Source organism: Homo sapiens, chromosome 12 (assembly GCF_000001405.40).
Source record: "Homo sapiens chromosome 12, GRCh38.p14 Primary Assembly".
NCBI lineage: Eukaryota > Metazoa > Chordata > Mammalia > Primates > Hominidae > Homo > Homo sapiens.
The window spans coordinates 109905178-109924919 of NC_000012.12; the positions used below are offsets into that span (position 1 = coordinate 109905178).

The following is a 19742-nucleotide window of genomic DNA, read 5'->3' on the forward strand; positions in this document are numbered from 1 at the left end:
TGGGGTGGAAGAGTTTGAAGGGATGTATGTGTGTAGAGGTGAGGAAAGGATGTTCTAGGTTGATGTGACTGTGAGAACCAGGCTTGAGACTCGAGAACAGAGCGAGCCCTGGGAGCTGAAAGTGTCTGGGTGAGGCTAGGATGTCAGATAGTGAGGGAGAACCCCAAGAAATGACGCTGGCGAGGCAGAGGGTGCCAGACATCGGAAGAGCTTGTGTGACCTTCCTCCAAAGGGGCTGGGGGCAGCATACAGGATCCCAGCTGCATTTCAGAGAGACTCCTCTGGTAGCAATGTGCCCGCCGACAGGGAGGGGTGCTGCGACAGCCCAGCCGGGGGTTGGTGAAGGCCTGAACTGGGCTGGCAGGGGAGGGGGTGGCCTCTTGGCTTGGTGGCCTTGTTCAGTGGAGATTTGGCTGCAGGGAGATCATCCCTCACTGTTATTCATTTATTTTCAACTTACAGTTTTTGTATACATTTGGTGCCTTCGTGTTATTCGTAGTTACATTTAGAAATCGCCAGGCACTAAATAATGGAACATCTGGTGCTTTTGTGCAGTTTGCACTAATCTGTGGGAGGACTCCTTAGCCCTGTTGGCTTCGGTGGAATCATCCAGAGCCGTTAAATCAGAAAAGTTTATTCAGAACATTCAAGTTAATTGCCTATGTTCACAGCTGTAAGTTGGGAAAGATTATTTTAAAACTTTTTTATAGAGACAGGGTCTCCCTGTGTTGCTCAGGCTGGTCTCAAACCTGGGCTCAAGTGATCCTCCCACCTCAGCCTCCCGAGTAGCTGAGACTACAGGTGGGCGCCACCATATCCAGCTAATTTTATAAACAGTTTCCCAAACAAAAGATTTGGATTGAATGTTGTGATCCATTTTCTAATCCAGGAGATTGTCTGCGCTCAAATCTCTTACTAACAATGCTAAACTTGTTGCACCTACTGGTGCATCACTTGATACAGGGAGTACGTAGTCCATCTGCTTTGCAGAGGAAACTTCGGGGAGCCAGGCACAGGGTTGAGTCTTCTCACTCAGCTGTCTCCCAGGGCCTGGCATGCAGTACATCAACCCAAGGTGGCCTTTGAAATTGTATTTCCATTTCAGCGTCCAGCCCAACCCTAGGGCTAGTGGGAGGGAAGTCTCTGTTACTTTGTACCAGCTCAAAAGATTGGTGTAGGAGTGCCTGGTCCTTTGGTCTTCTGATTGACATGCATTCACACTATACATGTTGAAGTCACCCCACGCTCTCTACTAGACGCCTGTGCCACTGAGTCCCCATGAAGCGAAGTCATGGCCACGTTCCCGCAGGTGGCACAGAGGGCAGGAGCACACTGTCCCCACAGTGCCCATCTGTCTGGTGAGGAAATTCACATCGTCCCCCTTCCATCCTCAGATGGAGCTGGACCTTCACCAGAAGCATGTCGTAAACTCTTGGGAAATGCAGAAAGAAGAAAAAAAACAGGTGTGGTATGTGGCTCTGGGAATAGCCGCGTATTCTGCTGTGCGAGACTGTTCACGTCTTTGCATTCGTTTACCGTTTTCAGCATCAGTGACTCCAGTTAAGGAGTGTAGTGTACTCTTTTCTTAGTTTACTTGACACATGTGAAAACTGAATGTTTGCTCTTACATATACCAGAATCCTATGTGATAATTCCCAGGGCAGAATAAGGCCAGGTGACCAGGGCTGGGAGGTGGCACATACAGCACGCGTCTTCTTTTTTTCTTTTGGAGGCAGGGTCTTGCTCTGTCACCCAGGCTGGTGTGCAGTGGCGCGACTCACAGCTCACTGCAGCCTCGACTGGCTGGGCTCAAGCAGTCCTCCTAACTCAGCCTCCCGAGTAGCTAGGACCACAGGTACGCACCACTGCGCCCAGCTAATTTTTTAATTTTTGTAGAGATGGGGTCTTGCTCTGTTGCTCAGGCTGGTCTGGCCTCCTGGCCTTAAACGATTCTCCCACCTCGGCCTCCCAAAGTGCTGGGATTACAGGCGTGGGCCACAGGGTCCAGCTAGGACGTGTGTCTTTAAGGGCATTTTTGTCTCTCTTTTGATGAAATCTGCATCGTAAACTCGCAGCCCTGGCTTACTGTAACCCCTTTGGGGTTAAGCTTCCACACCTCTGTGCACTGGTCGCTTTGCTGCCTGGTTCATTTTAGAAAGTGTTTTGTTGAGTGGGGAGGAAACCCAACATTATTGAGTCCCTCCCTGACTTGGCGTCTGAGGGCGTTGTCATTTGGGATTCAGGCAGGAACTGCCTGGGCCCTGTGGCCTGCAGAACGGCGGCAGGAAGCTAGGTTTTTGTTGGCTTACGGTACAGATATTGACCTGTGTTCATTTGGTCCCTTGTAGCAAGAAGCCACCGCAGAGCAAGAGAACAAACGGTATGAAAATGAATATGAAAGGGCCCGAAGGGAGGCGCTAGAAAGGATGAAAGCTGAAGAGGAGAGGAGGCAGCTGGAGGACAAGCTCCAGGCCGAGGCACTGCTGCAACAGATGGAGGAGCTGAAGCTGAAGGAGGTGGAGGTGGGCACAAGCCCCTCTCAGCCGTGACCTCCTCCACAGCTGCTCGTTAGCATGAGATGGGCACTTGAGAGGCTGCCCTAAGAAGAGGCCATAGCAGGGCTGAGATTCTGCAAAGGGCGGCAGCAGCCGGGTTCTCCCTCTCACATGCATCCCCATCTGCCTTGTGCTTTCCCATCCTCCTCGTTTGCGTGCCTGAATTCCAGAACATTAACGACATGGAGCCAGTAGCTGTTCTCTTAGAGGTGGTTAGCGGCCTGCTGTTGGAGAACCTTCTTAGAATCTGGATTTTCCAGTGCACTGAGTAGACACAATTTAATCGGGTGGTCTAGCACCCAGCTCTCCGTGGGGAGCAGGTTTCGGGTCTCGAGGCATAACTGAGGGTTTTTGGTCCAGGGGCTGTTTTTGGAGAACATGGCACAGTTTCCTTGAAAGAGATCTTTCTATTTAGAAGAGGGAGGCCCATGCTCCTGTGACCTCACTTCCCCTTGCCCAGGCCGTGATTTAGCAACTACATTCTTAGTGCCTACTGCTTATTCTAGGTGCTGAGCACTGGGTTGGGAACTAGAGATAGAGCCTGACCAAGGCCCACAGTCCTGACCTCCTGGTGGGGGCTGTGTCAGGTGGAGGACAGTTGTTAAGTTACAGTAAGAGTGGACCAGTACAGGATCCTGTGGGAGTTTAGAGTTCAGGGCTCAGAAAGGCCCTTGCAGGAAATGGCTCAGAGGGGATTGGATGAGTAAGTGAGTGGTGGGAGGGGATCGTGACCACCTGCATGGCCAGGCCTCTGTTGGTGTAGTGTCTGCGAAAAATGGAGATGGAGAATGAAGGAAGATCTGATTCCCACGATCTCAGATCTCAGTCGAGCTTACTCTCATCATCACCACAGGCGACCAAACTAAAGAAGGAGCAGGAGAATCTGTTGAAGCAGCGGTGGGAGCTAGAGAGGCTGGAGGAAGAGCGAAAGCAGATGGAAGCCTTCCGGCAGAAGGCAGAGCTGGGGTGTGTGTCAGAAGGGCCCCCCACTCTTCCCAGGCGGGTGGGCCTCTTGCTTTTTCAGACTTGCATTCGTGTTGCTGAAACCATAAAGGAGACAGCCTGGTCAGCAGTTATCTAACTTCTATTTAATTCTTTCTGAGATACTGAAGGCAGCCCACATTTGATTCTCCTTCAGGCGTTTCTTGAGACATCAGTATAACGCTCAACTCAGCAGACGCACACAGCAGATCCAAGAGGAGCTGGTAAGTCTGAAGAGACAGCCTGACATCTTTCTTAGCCTCTTTTGTAAAAAAGGCCTTCCATTGCTTAGTATATGAGTGCATTCTCGTAAGAATGAAGACAGTGAGGGGTTGGGGGAAAGGGGAGATGTTGGTCAAAGGATACATCCCTCGGTTGGGAGATCTGGGAGTAGTGTCCATCATGTTGATCACAGCTGATGATACCATATTGTATTCTTGAAATTTGCTAAGAGAGCCAATCTTAAGTGTTGTCACCATGAAAACCAACTGTGAGGTGATGGATATGTTAATTAGCTTGACCGTAAGGATCCTTTCCCAGTGTCTGTGTGTATACATAGATGGATAGATACAGGTATCAAAACATCAAATTATTTTTCAGTAACTGTGTTACTTAAAAAGCAGCACAACACAAAGTGAGATCACCCCCTTGACCAGCACCTGCAATCTCTGTCTATCCCCAGAGGTGCCTGTTTAGTTCACATCTTTCTAGATGTATTTACATACAGAGAGGTGGAGGTTTTTGTTTTTGTATTTAAATCTAATTGAGGTTGCATTCCTCAGCATCTTCAATTAACACTAAATCTCTTAATTTTTAAAAAGATCGGCCAGGTGCGGTGGCTCCCGCCTATAATCCCAGCACTTTGAGAGGCCAAGGCAGGCGGATCACCTGAGGTCAGGAGTTTGAGGCCAGCCTGAATGACATGGTGAAACCCCATCTCTACTAAAAATACAAAAACTAGCCGGACATGGCCGGGCGTGGCGGCTCACACCTGTAATCCCAGCACTTTGGGAGGCTGAGGCGGGCGGATCACCTGTGGTCAGGAGTTTGAGACCAGCCTGGCCAATGTGGTATAACCCTGTCTCTACTAAAAAATACAAAAATTAGCCGGGTGTGGTGGCAGGCGCCTTAATCCCAGCTACTTGGGAGGCAGAGACAGAAGAATCATTTGAACCTGGTAGGTGGAGGTTGCAATAAGCTGAGATCAAGCCGTTGCACTCAAGCCTGGGGGACAAGAGCGAGACTTCTCTCAAAACAAGAACAACAACAACAAAAACTAGCCAGGCATGGTGGTGCACACCTGTAATCCCAGATACTCGGGGGGCTGAGACAGGAGAATTGCTTGAACCCAGGAGGTGGAGGTTGCAGTGAGCCGAGATTGCACCACTGCACTCAAGCCTGGGCAACAGAGTGAGACTCTGTCTCAAAAAAACAAAAAAAGGTCATTATGCTTAGATTGAACCTGTTCTTTTCAGATAGCTCCTTTGTATTCCTAAGTACTTTGATGAGCTCCCTTGAAGTGAGGGAGACAGACCTAAGCTGCCCTTCCCATCCCTGCCCACTGCGGTCAGGGCAGGACATGGGGCACAGTGGCATGGTTGGTCCTGGTGTGCAGCTGTTTTTTATGGGGTCTTGCTCTGTTGTCCAGGCTGGATTGCAATGGCGCAATCACGGCTCACTGCAGCCTCAACCTGCCAGGCTCAAGCCATCCTCCCACCTCAGCCTCTCGAGTAGCTGGGACCATAGGTGTACATCACAATGCTTTGTAGAGATGGGGTCTTGCTACATTGCCCAGGCTGGTCTTGAACTCCTAGGCCCAAGTGATCCTCCCACCTCAGCCTCCCAAAGTGCTGGGATTGCATGCATTAGCCCCAGTGCCCAGCCTCCTGCATTATTTTAATGCTTCCATTATGTTGATGTACATAGTAGCTAATTCCCCACCAAGGAGCATTTTGGTTGTTTCTGGTTTTTCCCTCTTACCTAAAAGCTGCAACGAGTGTTTTGCACTTTTGTGTCACTGTGGTCTTTGTTCTTATAAGTGGGATTTTTGCCAAGTTGTATTCCAAAAAGTTGTGCAACCAGGTGTATCCGAGGGCATGTGGTGGTGGCTGGGTCTCCCTTTAGCCAGAGAGAAGCTCCTAGGCCTGTGCAGTGTCTGAACCACCCCTCGTGATTATCCCCAGTCTGTTCCAGAAATAATCCAGGATCTTCCCATCTCTGTCTTGAGAACACTGTGTAGAATCACGAATGTCTATGTAGAAAGGAAAGGGAGGGCAGGCCCCTCTGTAGGCTCTCATTGCAGAAGGACTCTGTCCAGCCCAGCCACGTGCCGCCCTCTGCTTCCTCTAGGAGGCAGACAGGCGGATCCTGCAGGCCCTCCTCGAGAAGGAGGACGAGAGCCAGCGCCTCCACCTGGCCAGGCGGGAGCAGGTCATGGCCGATGTGGCCTGGATGAAGCAGGCCATTGAGGAGCAGCTGCAGCTGGAGCGGGCGCGGGAGGCAGAGCTGCAGATGCTGCTGAGGTGAGTGGCAGCTGCTGACTGGGCTGGATGCTCCTGGCCTCAACTCTGATACCTTGAAATGCCCCATGGGTCACCTGTTACTGAAATATCTATTGGCTGGGCGTGGAGGCTCACACCTGTAATCCTAGCACTTTGAGAGGCCGAGGCAGGTGGATCGCTTGAGCCTAGGAATTTGAGATCAGCCTGGGCAACATGGCAAAACTCCAGGCTCTACCAAAAATACACAAATTGGCCAGGCGTGGTTGTTCATACCTGTAGTTCCAACTACTCGGGAGGCTAAGTGGGAGGATCACTTGAGCCCAGGAGGTTGGGGCTCCGATTAGCCATGACTACACCACTGCACTCCAGCCTGGGTGACAGAACGAGACTCTGTCTCAAAAAAAAAAAAAAAAAAAAAAGAAGAAGAAGAGATAGCTGTGTATGTTGTCCATCATTCCTGAGGAGCACATCTTCATAATGGACCTGGCCTCTGGGGGTGTTTCCCTTGTATTATCTGAGGTGGAAATCATTAAGGTTTAGAGTAACGATGTGTTCATCTGAAATCTTAGAGGTTTAGAAGGAAATTATTTTTTTTTTTTTGAGATAGAGTCTTGCTCTGTCACCCAGGCTGGAGTGCAGTGGCATGATCTCGGCTGACTGCAATCTCTGCCTCCTGGGTTCAAGTAATTCTCTGCCTCAGCCTCCCGAGTAGCTGGGATTACAGGCGCCCGCCACCACACCCGGCTACTTTTTGTATTTTTAGTAGAGATGGGGTTTCACCATCTTGGCCAGGCTGGTCTTGAACTCCTGACCTTGTGATCCGCCAGCGTTGGCCTCCCAAAGTGCTGGGATTACAGGCGTGAGCCACTATGCCCAGCCAGAAGGAAGTTATTATAGAGATGTTGAATGCTGCTTACATCTATAAAACTGAGTTTGGGTCCTAAAGACTAAACTAGTAGATTGAAATCATCAAATAATAAGTAGCATACATTGAGCACTTACTGCATGCTGGACACTGTGCCGGGTGCTTTACAGGCCTCATCTTACTGAGTCCTGACATCCAGCCAAGTGGTGGCTTGTGAGACCCGGAGACTTGAAGAGGTCACTCCGTCCAGGGTGAGCTATCAGTGACACAGGCATGCGGTGGCAGGGTTCAGGCACAGGCAGCGCCCTCCTCTCCATGTTCTGATGGTTTCATTCATCTCTGTGTTAAACAGCCACGGTGTAAGTCATCCCAATTCCTTTTTATAAGGAGATGGGGTATTAAAAGGGTAACTTAAAATACTTCCAACAGGGCCAGGCACGGTGGCTCACGCTTGTAATCCCAGCACTTTGGGAGGCCAAAGCAGGTAGATCACTTGAGATCAGGAGTTCAAGACCAGCCTGACCAACATGGTGAAACCCTGTCTCTACTAAAAATACAGTAATTGGCCAGACATGGTGGCACATGCCTGTAATCCCAGCTACTCAGGAGACTGAGGTACTAGAATCGATTGAACCTGGGAGGTGGAGGTTGCAGTGAGCCGAGATCGCACCACTGCACTCTAGCCTGGGCAACAGAGCGAGACCCATCTCAAAAATAAAAAAAATGAAAAACTTCCAACAGTACTTTCCGTGGATGCTGTCCTTAATTGTAATCTTTTCAAAGTGCATGTGGATGTTTATCTGCAGTGTGGTCCTGCAGAAGCCATGTGCCCTGCAGCCCTGTCTGTTCCGTAGCTCGCTTCCTGCCAGGGCGGGGAGGAGCCTGCTGTCATCCCTTTTGTGTTTGCCCAGGGAGGAGGCCAAGGAGATGTGGGAAAAGAGAGAGGCAGAGTGGGCCCGAGAGCGCAGCGCACGGGACAGACTGATGAGCGAGGTAATCCCAGCTGCGGCGATGTGGACCGGCTGTTGGGTCTTGGGCAGGTGTCTGGAAGTCCATGGTCAGTCACCCTGCCAGATGCTCTGGGAACAGAGTCTTCTCTGGTCATTTTAAGTGGGCTTTAAAAATCATTGAAAAAGTAATATGAGCTTAGTAGAAAAGAATTCAGAAGTACAGGAAGTAGAAATGGAAAAAAGTCCCCCAGAGCCCATCCTGTATGCAGCCGTAGCTGCTGCTTCTGTCTGCTCTTCTGTTTCTATGCCTGACATTTTTTCTACATGTATTTCTTACTGTCTTGTGCTATTTGGCTTCAAGCGTTGTGACATGCTGTTACATCTTTATAAACGGCATGTCAGGGGCTGTATCACGGACTGTCCTCTGTCACCCGCTGCCTTTCCATTCCCTCTTATGGGTGTGCTGTGTTGTTCTAATTGGAAGCCATTCTGAGAAACGCTGCAGAGAGCCTCTTGGTGCCTGAGGCTCTTCCCACACGTTTCCCCCCTCGGGGTAGATGACAGCCGTGACCTGGAGGACATAACTGCTTTCCTGGTCAGTGTGTACACTGTGCGTGGAAGATATACCCCAACCGCAGAGAAATCTGGGAGGAGAAGAGAGAGTGTTACCCATGGGCTGAAAGCTGTTGTAAAGTGGTTTCAAATGAGAAACTCTACGTTGTGTCTGGTAGTATGCTGTATTTTGGAATCCACAGGAAATTGGGTCGTGATTGGTGATGTTTTGCTCTTGTAAATACCAAGAATTCTCCAGTGCCTTTTGATTTTCCTCATTTAAATTTCCCTCCTGATGGCGGCCACTTTCTGTTCCCCCCAGCCCTGCAGCCTAACTGTTGAGAGTGTCAGGTGGTTTTCTGCTCCTGACTGTGGCCTGGGCTGGAGTTCAGATGTCACACGGCTCTGGGGCCAGGTCTCAAACACAGCAGGTTCAAAAGGTTAGAGGACCACCCCAGCTCCACCTCTGGTCATCTGTGTGGCTTGTGGCTCTCTTGTTTTTGGAACCCGCTGATAGGAAGGAGACTCACCTTGTTGCTCCAAGGTTTCTCTGGCCCCGGGGAGACAGCTCCATCCCCATCTCCTTTGATTTCTTTGGCACTCAGCTGTCTCTCCATAGTACACAGTCTGGATACATTTTGTGTGTCTTGGGTTGCGAGGGAAACATTTCTTGTATACTGGCAAGCGTGGCCGACATCGTGAGAGCAAATCCTGTCATCTGGCTCTGCCTCTGCGTACCTGGGCCTGAGGCCCAAGGATGAGGCTGGGCCTTGCTGTGGCTGCAGCCTGTCCAAGGCTTGTAGAACCAGGATCTGTTAGGGTCAACCTCAAAGCTGCCCTTTTCTTTCTGCTGAGGTTAGGTTCTGACAGGGAGACAACAGCAAATACAAGAGAAGATTGAGCAGAACCGACGGGCACAAGAGGAATCCCTGAAACACAGGGAGCAACTTATTCGAAATCTTGAGGAGGTGAGAGAGTTGGCTCGTCGCGAGAAAGAGGAGAGTGAAAAGCTGAAATCGGCCAGGAAGCAGGAGCTGGAAGCCCAGGTAGGGCTGAGCCCAAGGGCGGGAGGCACCGGGCCTGCCAGGTTCTCTGCATCATCATGGGACAGGGTTCAGAGCCGCTGGACTGCCTGGCAGGGCTTGCGCACGTTTGAGAGCACGGTGCTCCCGTTTCCATCCCAGCTGCAGTCCTCATCCTCTTGACTGTGGCTTCTTTCCCTCCACATCCTCCATGTCGTGTGGGTGAGGCCGGTACTGCTGTCTGTTCTCTTTACTCTGTCTGCTTCTGCAAGCAGTTGGCTTACCGGGGGCCATAGATCTCTCTTCATTTCAGTCCCTGATACATAAGACAGAACAGTCCTCCAAACACCTGGCCACAGGCCGAGCTTTTCACGAGGTACACGCCACGCATATGTATAGCCTCTCCAGCTTTCCATGAGGTACACGCCACGCATACAGCCTCTCCAGCTTTCTACGAGGTACATGCCATGCATACAGCCTCTCCAGCTTTCTACCAGGTACACACAATGCATACAGCCTCTCCAGCTTTCCACGAGGTACACGCCACGCATACAGCCTCTCCAGCTTTCCACGAGGTAAGCGCCACGCATACAGCCTCTCCAGCTTTCTATGAGGTACACACCATGCATACAGCCTTTCAAGTCCCGCATGCTCCCTTCCGTTCCTTGGCACGTGCATTGCTGTTGCTCAGCTGGATTCTCCAGTCTGGGTAGGGCCGCAGGCTTACCTTCCTCATCAGAGGCAGGGCTCTGCCCTGTGGGCCTTGTCTTGGGGTGGTGACTTTGCTCTTGGCACTCAGGTTGCAGAGCGCCGGCTGCAGGCATGGGAAGCAGACCAGCAGGAGGAGGAGGAAGAGGAGGAGGCCCGGCGGGTCGAGCAGCTCTCAGATGCCCTGCTGCAGCAGGAGGCGGAGACTATGGCTGAGCAGGGCTACCGGCCTAAGGTAGGAAGTCTGCCAGGATATAGGCCAACACCGGCAAGACAGACTCTGCCCGGCCCCTGCTCCCCTGGGCCTGCTCATCGCCCCGCGCCGGGGTCTGCTCTCCGGCCGTCCGGGTTATTCCTTGTTTCTCTTCTCTTGTATTTCTCTCTTCCCTGACCAGCAGGGAGCCCTGACACAGGGGCTGTTCCAGTCCTTGGTTGGGCCTCAAACCTTGAAGTGATTTTGCTCTGGCCTTGCCTACTAAGCTGCATGCCTGTCCACCCTCTTTGGTCAATCTAAGAAGAGCTGTGGCCACAGCTGCTGAGAGGGGTCAGAGCAGTAGATCTAGGCCTCAACTGTTGAGACAGTGAAGCCCGATGAACAAGAGACCAGTCCTCCTCCTCACCTCCCCTCCCTCCCTCCTGTGGGTGTCCTCTTCCTCCCCTCCCTCCCGTGTGTGTATCTGTTTCTCTGCCTCTCAGTGTCTTTGTTCCCGGACCTGTCTGCACAGCACCATGGGGAGCACAGAGAAGCAAATGCTGCCTTCCCTGCCCTGAGGAAGCTGATGACTGAAGCACCTCCACTGCTGGCTTGTCCCCTCTGCCCTCCTTTACCTAGGGCCACCCTGGCCACCCGGTGCCTAGAGTGCATTCCCCAGGACACATGCTGCAGAATGAGGGCTGGCTCCCTTGTGGTCAGATGACACTGGGAAACTGAGTGAAACATAATTAGAGCAGGTGCTGCGTTTGCCATAGGCCACTCGCCCTCAAACACTGACTGTCACAGTCACAGGGAACAGCATTTCCTAAACCCACTTGGCCGTGGATCAGTGAGAGTGTCAGGGTCAGGGTTTCACAGATCATATGTGAAAGTGTTTCTTAGGGCTAGTACTCAAAACCAAAAAGATATCAAGTGCCTCATTTATGGCTTAGGGTCAGATTTTTTCAGCTGGAAATGAAACAGCCATTTATATTGTTCTTTTAGCTTGTAGTTAAAACAAGGTTAATTCCTCATGCTGCAGATACTGCTGATCTGATCACTCTTATGTTTTCTTTCTTTTCTCAGCCTTACGGACATCCAAAAATTGCTTGGAACTGACTTCATGGGTACCATAAGTACAGAGAACAAGGGATGCTGAGGCTTCTGATCCCAGCCGCCAGGCAGTTTTACAGGGCTCTGTTAACAGTAAGTGCCCGGGGCACTGTCAGATGGCTCAGCAGTGCCTGCTCAGGTTCATCATTGAAACATCCCAGTGTTTGGCCAGACATTAAGGTGTCGTGAGAGTCCCTTTCATGCCTTTCTTACCCAAGCAAGGGTCTTTGATGGGCACGTGTTTACAGCGCTGCTGCATAGTCTTGTAATATATTAACAGTCACATCAACTGAAGGTCAATACTAAGAGCCACAGGTTGTACCTGTGATGGGGCGTGTGGTTTCCTGTTGTCTCACCTTTAATTGTCAACCTCCAGTGTTGACTCTAGAAATATGAGGAAAGCTTTTCAGTTTTTAAAATTGCCATTTAAATTTAGTCTATTAAAAACAAACCTAGAGGTCTTGGTGCAGTTGATTTCAGAGTTTATTAATTTAGTGGTCCCAAAAGTATTACATCTTTTATATTCTGGAAGAAAAGAACTGTGAACAAATTAGAACCCCGGAACACTCTGACGTCCATGGACGCATTCCAGAAAAGTGGCAAGAGATGAGTCTTTCCTCCTCCAGGAAGCATTTTGGTAGAATTTCCATAGAGCATTGTCTGTGAGTGACTGATCCCAACATGTATGTTACTAAGCCCCAAAACGAACTTCAAACTGGGTGTGGTGGCACGTGCCTTTAGTCCCAGCTACCCGGGAGGCTGCGGCAAGAGGATTGCTTGAGCCCAGGAGTTCGAGTCCAACCTGGGCAAAAGAGTGAGACCCCATCTCTAAAACCAAAAAGGTACCTTAGAAGGTCACCTGGTTGGCTAACCTTTTAAAGGCAGGGGCGTGACACGTAGGACACATTGGGAATGTCTTGGCTACTACATGTAGCCTTCTGGGATATATGTGCCCAGAGGGAGAAGCACTGAGCCTGAAGAAACTAGATGAGTCTCAGAACCACAGACCGGCCAGAAATCTCTCCCACCATTATATCAGCGTGATACAGGTCTACATTCATTTCTACAAACAGGAACAAGTTCCTTGCAGCAATAATATTATTTTATGACTTGTATTTTTACTATACCCTTCCTCTGAGGTTTAGTTTTCATCACATTATGTTCAAGATTCCATATCTCCGTAAATTACAGCTAATTACAGGGCATTGTTCCATGGTTATTAAAAATCAGAGTTTATTAAAAATCCTGAGTCTTAAGGGCTGTCTTACCTTTCACTTCCACTGTCCTGTAGAAACAGATCAAGCTGCAAACCACGTCCTTCATCTGTTGTTCATTTTCTTGCAACTCTTTGACTCTGATCCCCTGAGCAGCACGTTCATCACGCATGCTCTCTGTTGCGTTCCCCATTTCAGATGTCCAGTAATGGTGAAATAAAATCCTGCTTCGACAGCATGGCTTCCTGGCTTTGTTACGGATTTTCTGATTGACTGCCGTTAAGTGCATTGTTGGTGACAGGCTTTTTACTGATTTAATCCACATCTCCCACATACAGGCTTGGCTATTTTCTATGACTGATCACGTTTTATAGGTTATATTCATTTTTCTTAGGAAAGTGGTTTCTCCCTTCTTTCAATTGGAACCACAGTGAACTGAGTTTAAACCTTTTTTTTTTTGAAACACGGCTTTGTTCTGTCACCCAGGCTGGGGTGTAGCAGTGCAATCTCAGCTCACTGCAACCTCCACCTCCCAAGTTCAAGTGATCCTCCCACTTCAGCCGCCCCAGTAGCTGGAACTACAGGTGTGTGCCACCAGGCCTGGCTAATTTAGTAGAGATAGGGCTCTTGCCATGTTGCCCAAGCTGGTCTCGAACTCCTGGGCTCAAGTGATCCGCCTATCTCAGCCTCTGAAAGTGCTAGGATTACAGGCATGAGCCACTGTTCCTGGCCTGAATTTTTTTTTTTTTTTTTTTTTTGATACAGAGTCTCACTCTTGTTGCCCAGGCTGGCGTGCAATAGTGTGATCTCGTCTCACCGCAATCTCCGCCTCCCGGGTTCAAGTGGTTCTCCTGCCTCTGCCTCCCGAGTAGTTGGGATTACAGGCGTGAGCCACCACGCCTGGCCAGTTTTGTATTTTTAGTGGAGACAGGGTTTCTCCATGTTGGCCAGGCTGATCTCGAACTCCTGATCTCAAGTGATCCACCTTCCTCCTCTGTCTCCCAAAGTGCTGGGATTACAGGTGTGAGCCACCACACCCAGCCTAATTTTTTGTTTTTGAAGCCTGGTGGTAATCATTAGCATTAAAATTATGTTACACTGGTTCACTGCCCTAATTAAATGTTTCTGCTCTACACTGGTCCAAAATAATTTGTTTTCTAAACTTAAAGTTTCCACTGTCTTACTATTTCTACTGTGGCCCATACACCTCTGGGCCCAGGGTATTTGCATTTTGTATTTTTATTGTGTTGTAGTTACAGATACATATATGGGTTTTATTGTTGCTAAGCACCTTTTTCTACTGACTCGAAATGAGTGGTTTCTAGATTATTCTTTGGCAGTTTCTTCTACAAAGGTCCATTCCTTTGGTACAGATGGTGCTGAAACCACTGCTAGGAAATGCTTCTTGCACTGGTATAGAAGTGATGACTTGGCTGGGCGCAGTGGCTCACGCCTGTAATCCCAACACTTTGGGAGGCCGAGGCAGGCAGATCACGAGGTCAGGAGATCGAGACCATCCTGGCCAACATAGTGAAATCCCGTCTCTACTAAAATACAAAAGGTTAGCTGGGCATGGTGGCGCTTGCCTGTAGTCCCAGCTACTTGGGAGGCTGAGGCAGGGGAATAACTTGAACCGGGAGGTGGGGGTTGCAGTGAGCTGAGATCATGCCACTGCATTCCAGCCTGGATGACAGAGCAAGACTCCGTCTCAAAAAAAAAAACCTCGCTTTCTGCTCCTCGCTTAGCACACGTTCTCTCTAGGGAAGGTACTAGGCCTGGGAAGTCACAGCTGACCATGAACAGTGACAAGAGTCAGACGCTCGAATCGGACACATGGATGAGCAGACGTCACTGGCAAACAGCCAGTTGTCACTCATGGGGCTGAAGAGATGTTTGTGCAATATGTACAGTCTATACATCCATATTTATGGATACGACTTTTTCATCTGGGTTTTTAGGTAGTTTTTGGTGTTCATAAAATATAGAGCAATCATTTAAAAGATATTGTAAAGCCTTTAAAAACACTGGCCTTAGCAGTTCTTGATGACCTCGACTAAATTCAGCCATGAAGCTCTGTGGAGTTGGATTTTAGGAAACTGATTTTACATTGTAATGTCTTCCTTTTAGAGGGATGTTTATGCCTTAGTATCACTCAAAACACAGTATCTACCTCAAAGGATACATGCGTGGTTTTTTCTGCAGGTAGCTGGAGTTTTTTACTGCTGTAAGAAACTGATTGTATAAATTCACTATCGTTCGTTTGTTCATTGTCACTTGTTTAGTTTCCAGTTTTTTCTATTAAAATGGAGTTGCTGGAATCCTCCGTGCACATAACTTCTAGTTCAGGTATTCTAGTTGATCTCCAGCAAAATGACTAGAAAGGGGCCACTTTCCATATTACAGCCATCAGGATCATGATGGAAAAGCCTGGATTTATGTCAGGGTACTGCCTTGACGCTGCCCTAGCGCTTTTCTTCTCATTTTCTCCCAATTAACTGCTCTAGACACTGCAGCTCCCTTTCTTCATTTCCCCACAACACTCCCTCTTCCATTTCCATATGGAAATGCTTACAGTAGGAGGCTGGCGGGCGGGGATCCCCCACGTGAGGGTGCTCAAGCTGTGCGGCACTGTGGTCCGTGCCGCTGACTCCTGGCTCCTGAGACAAACCAAGCATCTGGACCTAAGCAGCTGGGCCACCGACACTGGCTTCCAGTTCACATGTACAGCTCTTCTCTATCCATCGGGGTTGCTGATACACATGGGGTTCTGTGGATACTTTGCAGTTACTGTGGCCTCTGCCGGTCATAATGGAGCAGTGCTAGTTTTCTGGGCCCAGGCCTCACCACCCAGGCCCTCCTAGGTGATGTGAGCCAGGCCTCTGCCTTCTGCTGCCATCCTCACATCAGTAACTCCTGGCTCTGCAGCTCTAGTCCAGACTCTGATGTCCCTACCTCTCTGACATCTCCACGGTGTCTCAGAGGTGCCTCAAGCTCAGCATAGCCAAGACGAATGAGTGATCTCCCCCAAACCCCCATCAGAAAAAAAACCCCAGACGCATCTGGCCCTTCTGCAGTGTTCTCAGATAAGCGCCTGGTGATGCCATCTATCCTGCCAGTTGATTATGCCTTAGACCGAGGGCACCGGCTCCTGGTGGCCTCCTGAACCTTTGGCCATCCACTTTGCTCTTTAATGTCCACCCTTCATGTCACCAAGCCAGCCCATTTTTTTCTTCATCGTAGAGTCAGAGATCATTTACAAATAAACACCTGAAATGAGACTCGTCCACCTTCTTCAGTGGCTGCTCACTGCACTTAGTACCAAGAGCCAAATCCTTTCCTGGCCTACAAGGCCCTGTCCTGACCGGCCCTGCAGAGCTTTCCTGAAATGTACTGCTCTGCCTTCTGGCCCAGAAGATAGAAATACCAGATTGGTACAAAGATGTTGCTCACAGCATTAGTATGGTAACAGAAACCAATAACCTAGGCATCTAACACCAAGAGGCTGTTTGAGCTTGGGATGTTATGCAGTGAATTAAAGTGGAGTGGAAAACAAAGTTATGGAGAAATGTTCTGCCACATTAAAAAGTTAAGGCCAGCACTTTGGAGGCCGAGGCAGGAAGATTGCTTGAGCCCAGGAGTTTGAGATCAGCCTGGCAACACAGTGGGACCCTGTCTAAAAAAAAAAAAAAAAAAAATAGGCATGGTGGTTCGCACCTGTTGTCCCAGCTACTTGGGAGGCTGAGGCAGGAGGATCACTTGAGCCCTGGAGGTTGAGGCTGCAGTGAGCTATGATTGTGCCACTTGCAACGTAGCCTAGGTGACAAAGGGAAACCCTTTCACTAAAATAAAAAATCTGGTATATTCATTCAACGAATACAACATTGACATTGAAAATGAACTAGGCTGGGCACGGTGGCTCACGCCTGTAATCGCAGCTACTTGGGAGGCTGAGGCAGGAGAATCACTTGAACTCGGGAGGCGAGGTTGTGGTGAGCTGAGGTTGCACCATTGCACTCCAACCTAGGCAACAAGAGCGAAACTCTGTCTCAAAAAAGAGAAAAGAAAATGAACTAGCTACACACATTGACCTAGTTGAATCTTGCAACATTAAGGGAAAGAATTCATCAATAGGGTTCTGTTTGCACGTTCAAAACCAGTCAAAACCCTAAGCTGTGACCTAGGGATGCACACAAAGGTTTGGTTCAGCTAAACGCAAGGAAGTGATAGGCACCAAAGTCTAAGGGAAAGAGGGACCCTGTGCCACCCAGGCTCTATTCCTCTAAGCCTCCTCCCAAGGCAAGGAGAGGACCACACAGGAAGCAGCCTTCCCAGGGGCCTCCCTCCTCTGACACTCCCAGGAAGGAGGACCGGGAGGAGATGGGAGCCCCAAGTCTCTGCTCCACACCTCCCTCCCGCCGCACCACTGCCAGGGTTGCAGCCAGGGTTGAAAGAAAGGCACTGTTCTGTTTCTTAACCTGGTGGTAGTTACACAGGTAGCCACTTTATAATTGCACATAGATGCATCAGACATATTTCTTTGTTTATAGGTCACAATAAGAGAGAGACTGAGAGAACACTTGAATCAAGTGTGAGGGGAAGAACAGCCTGTGGCCCACACTGGCCCGGGTTCTAGTCCTGATGCCCACCACTTAGTGGCTGGGTGACCCTCCTGGCCCAGTTCTGTGAAATGTGGAGAAGGGAGATGTGAAGGTGTGAAAAGATAGAGTAAGGAAGCATGGAGCTCAGGCCAGGCATGGTGGCTCATACCTGTAATCCCAGCACTTTTGGAGGCCGAGGCAGGTGGATCACCTGAGGTCAGGAGTTTGAGACTAGCCTGACCAATATGGCAAAGCCCCATCTCTACTAAAAATACAAAAATTAGAGGCCGGGCACGGTGGCTCACGCCTGTAATCCCAGCACTTGGGAGGCTGAGGTGGGCGGATCACCTGAGGTCAGGAGTTCGAGACCAGCCTGGCCAACATGGAGAAACCCCATCTCTACTAAAAATACCAAAAAATAGCTGGGCATGGTGGTGCATGCCTGTAATTCCAGCTACTTGGGAGGCTGAGGCAGGAGAATTGCTTGAACCCGGGAGTTGGAGGTTGCAGTGAGCCGAGATCAAGCCATTGCACTCCACCCTGGGCAACAAGAGCAAAACTCCGTCTCAAAAAAAAAGCATGGAGCTCAGAAGGCCCTACTGTTTCTGCCAATAGGATGCTGCCCCAAGGAGTCCACCTGCCTGGGGTGGAACTGGCCATGGCTCTGCCTTTGGACTGGACTTGGGCAGGATTTCCATTGCTTCCAGCGGAAGCAGGTCAACTCCTGGCTGTGCACCTCATTCCCCAGCACTCCCTGGACTGGGAGACTCTCCCTCAACTCTGGGGATGGGGTGGACCGGCCTGTGCCATGCCCTGAAGGGAGGCTTCTGCTTCCAGCAGCAGGCACAGGGCCGCTCCTTTCAGAAGGGCCGCTGTGGGGGAAGTCATTGTGCTTGTGAATGAGGCTCCTTGAATCATTCCAGCAGTGGAACTGGGCAGCGTCCTCCACACAGAGTTCAGAGTCTTACCTGAGCAGTGGTTACTGAAGATCTCAATTTGAAACAAACAGAAAAGACAAGAAATATTTGTGGCAGCAGTAAGGAATTGAAAGACAAAATACAAACCCGGCCACCCAGGCTCTATTCCTGTGAGCCTCCTCCCAAGGCGAGGAGAGGACCACACAGTAAGCAGCCTCCCCAGGGGCCTCCCTGCTCCGACCCTCCCAGGAAAGAGGACTGGGAGGAGATGGGAGCCCCCAAGTCTCTGCTCCACACCTCCCTCCCACCACACCCCTGCCAGGGTCACAGCCATTCCTCACCCTCTCCTGGTTCCAGAAGGCCTGTCGTCCTTGGCCTGGATGTCCACCTGTGCCAGTCGAGCCCTGCGGTTAAGAGCACAGGCTCAGTGCTCTCACTTGCTCCAACATGAACTGGGCTCCAAGGGCCGAGCCTTGGTTTCTTTATCTGCAAAATGGGGGTAGTTTTAATTCCTACTTGGGGAGCCTGCTTTCATAACTGACTGGGAAATGCCCAGAGCACTTAGCCCAGTGGCTGCTCGGAGTGCAGGTGTCAGCTCAGCCCCTCTGGTCTGAAAGCAACAGGCCGGGCTGGGGAAGAACCTGAAGTGGGGTCCTGGGAAGGGGCGGCGGGAAGAGGGAAGCAGAGAGCAGTTTGCATCCCTGGGCCCCGAGGGGAGGACAATTTGCATCTCCTGGCTCGGAGGGGAGGGCCAAGGTACCACTCAGGCCCGGGGATGCAAATTGCAAAACCAAATTAGACTTCAAAACGCCCCCATGAAGGGCCAGGCACGGTGGCTCACGCCTGTAATCCCAACACTTTGGGAAGCCAAGGTGGGAGGATCACCTGAGGCCAGATATTCGAGACCAGCCGGGCCAACATGGCGAAACCCATCTCTATGAAAAATACAAAAATTAGCCTGGTGTGGTGGCACATGCCTGTAATCCCAGCCACTCAGGAGGCTGAGGCAGGAGAATTGCTTGAGCCTGGAAGGCAGAGGTTGCAGTGAGCTGAGATCGCGCCACTGCACTCTAGCCTAGGCGACAGAGTGATTAAAAAAAAGTAGTATGAAAAAGATGACAGCCGAGCGCAGTGGCTCACGCCTGTAATCCCAGCACTTTGGGAGGCCAAGGTGGGTGGATCACCTGAGGTCGGGAGTTTGAGACCAGCCTGGCCAACATAGTGAAATCCCATCTCTACTAAAAATACAAAATTAGCTGAGCATGGTGGTGCATGCCTGTAATACCAGCTACTCAGGAGGCAGAGTCAGAATAATCGCTTGAACCTGGGAGGCGGAGGTTGCAAGCCAAGATCGCACCATTGCACTGCAGCCTGGGCAATGAGAGCAAAACTCCACCTCAAAAAAAAAAAAAGAAAGAAAGAAAGAAAGAAAAGAAAGAAAAAGATGAATTGCTAACAGTGTTGGAGCAAGTGGACAGTCATCTTGGAAAATAATAAAGTGGAATCCCTCCCTACCTTTAAAAAAAAGAAAAAAAAGCAATCGTGTATGTAAAGTGTTCTGGGAGCAATGGGG

The 19742-nt window shown here is 50.1% G+C and overlaps 1 protein-coding gene across 8 annotated transcripts in view, besides 3 other annotated features; it reads left to right on the plus strand.

Moving 5' to 3' along the window:
• The window catches only part of TCHP (trichoplein keratin filament binding), a 37403-nt gene extending 24511 nt beyond the window's left edge, over positions 1-12892 (plus strand). For 6 of the 8 annotated variants that reach the window (XM_011538837.2, NM_001143852.2, XM_011538836.3 and 3 more), the window contains 9 exons: positions 1395-1463; positions 2349-2522; positions 3409-3521; positions 3694-3760; positions 5886-6058; positions 7814-7895; positions 9265-9450; positions 10226-10369; positions 11414-12892. In XM_011538837.2, the coding sequence (XP_011537139.1) occupies positions 1395-1463; positions 2349-2522; positions 3409-3521; positions 3694-3760; positions 5886-6058; positions 7814-7895; positions 9265-9450; positions 10226-10369; positions 11414-11446 (1041 nt within the window). In that variant the 3' untranslated portion in view covers positions 11447-12892. Of the gene's footprint in view, positions 1-1394; positions 1464-2348; positions 2523-3408; positions 3522-3693; positions 3761-5885; positions 6059-7813; positions 7896-9264; positions 9451-10225; positions 10370-11413 lie in introns of those variants that run through there. The other 2 variants (XM_017020024.1, XM_047429668.1) reach the window with 2 other exon arrangements.
• Positions 10934-11178: a silencer, noted in NCBI's record as "fragment chr12:110353916-110354160 (GRCh37/hg19 assembly coordinates)". NCBI's record gives its function as "represses an EF-1alpha promoter that drives an FKBP-Casp9 reporter gene in an ReSE screen in K562 erythroleukemia cells {active_cell/tissue: K562}" and the evidence as "EXISTENCE:reporter gene assay evidence [ECO:0000049][PMID:32094911]".
• Positions 15275-15775: an enhancer, noted in NCBI's record as "H3K4me1 hESC enhancer chr12:110358257-110358757 (GRCh37/hg19 assembly coordinates)". NCBI's record gives its function as "activates a minimal SCP1, AML or CMV promoter by ChIP-STARR-seq in primed H9 embryonic stem cells {active_cell/tissue: H9 hESC(primed)}" and the evidence as "EXISTENCE:reporter gene assay evidence [ECO:0000049][PMID:30033119]".
• Positions 18434-19289: an enhancer, noted in NCBI's record as "H3K27ac-H3K4me1 hESC enhancer chr12:110361416-110362271 (GRCh37/hg19 assembly coordinates)". NCBI's record gives its function as "activates a minimal SCP1, AML or CMV promoter by ChIP-STARR-seq in naive H9 embryonic stem cells {active_cell/tissue: H9 hESC(naive)}" and the evidence as "EXISTENCE:reporter gene assay evidence [ECO:0000049][PMID:30033119]".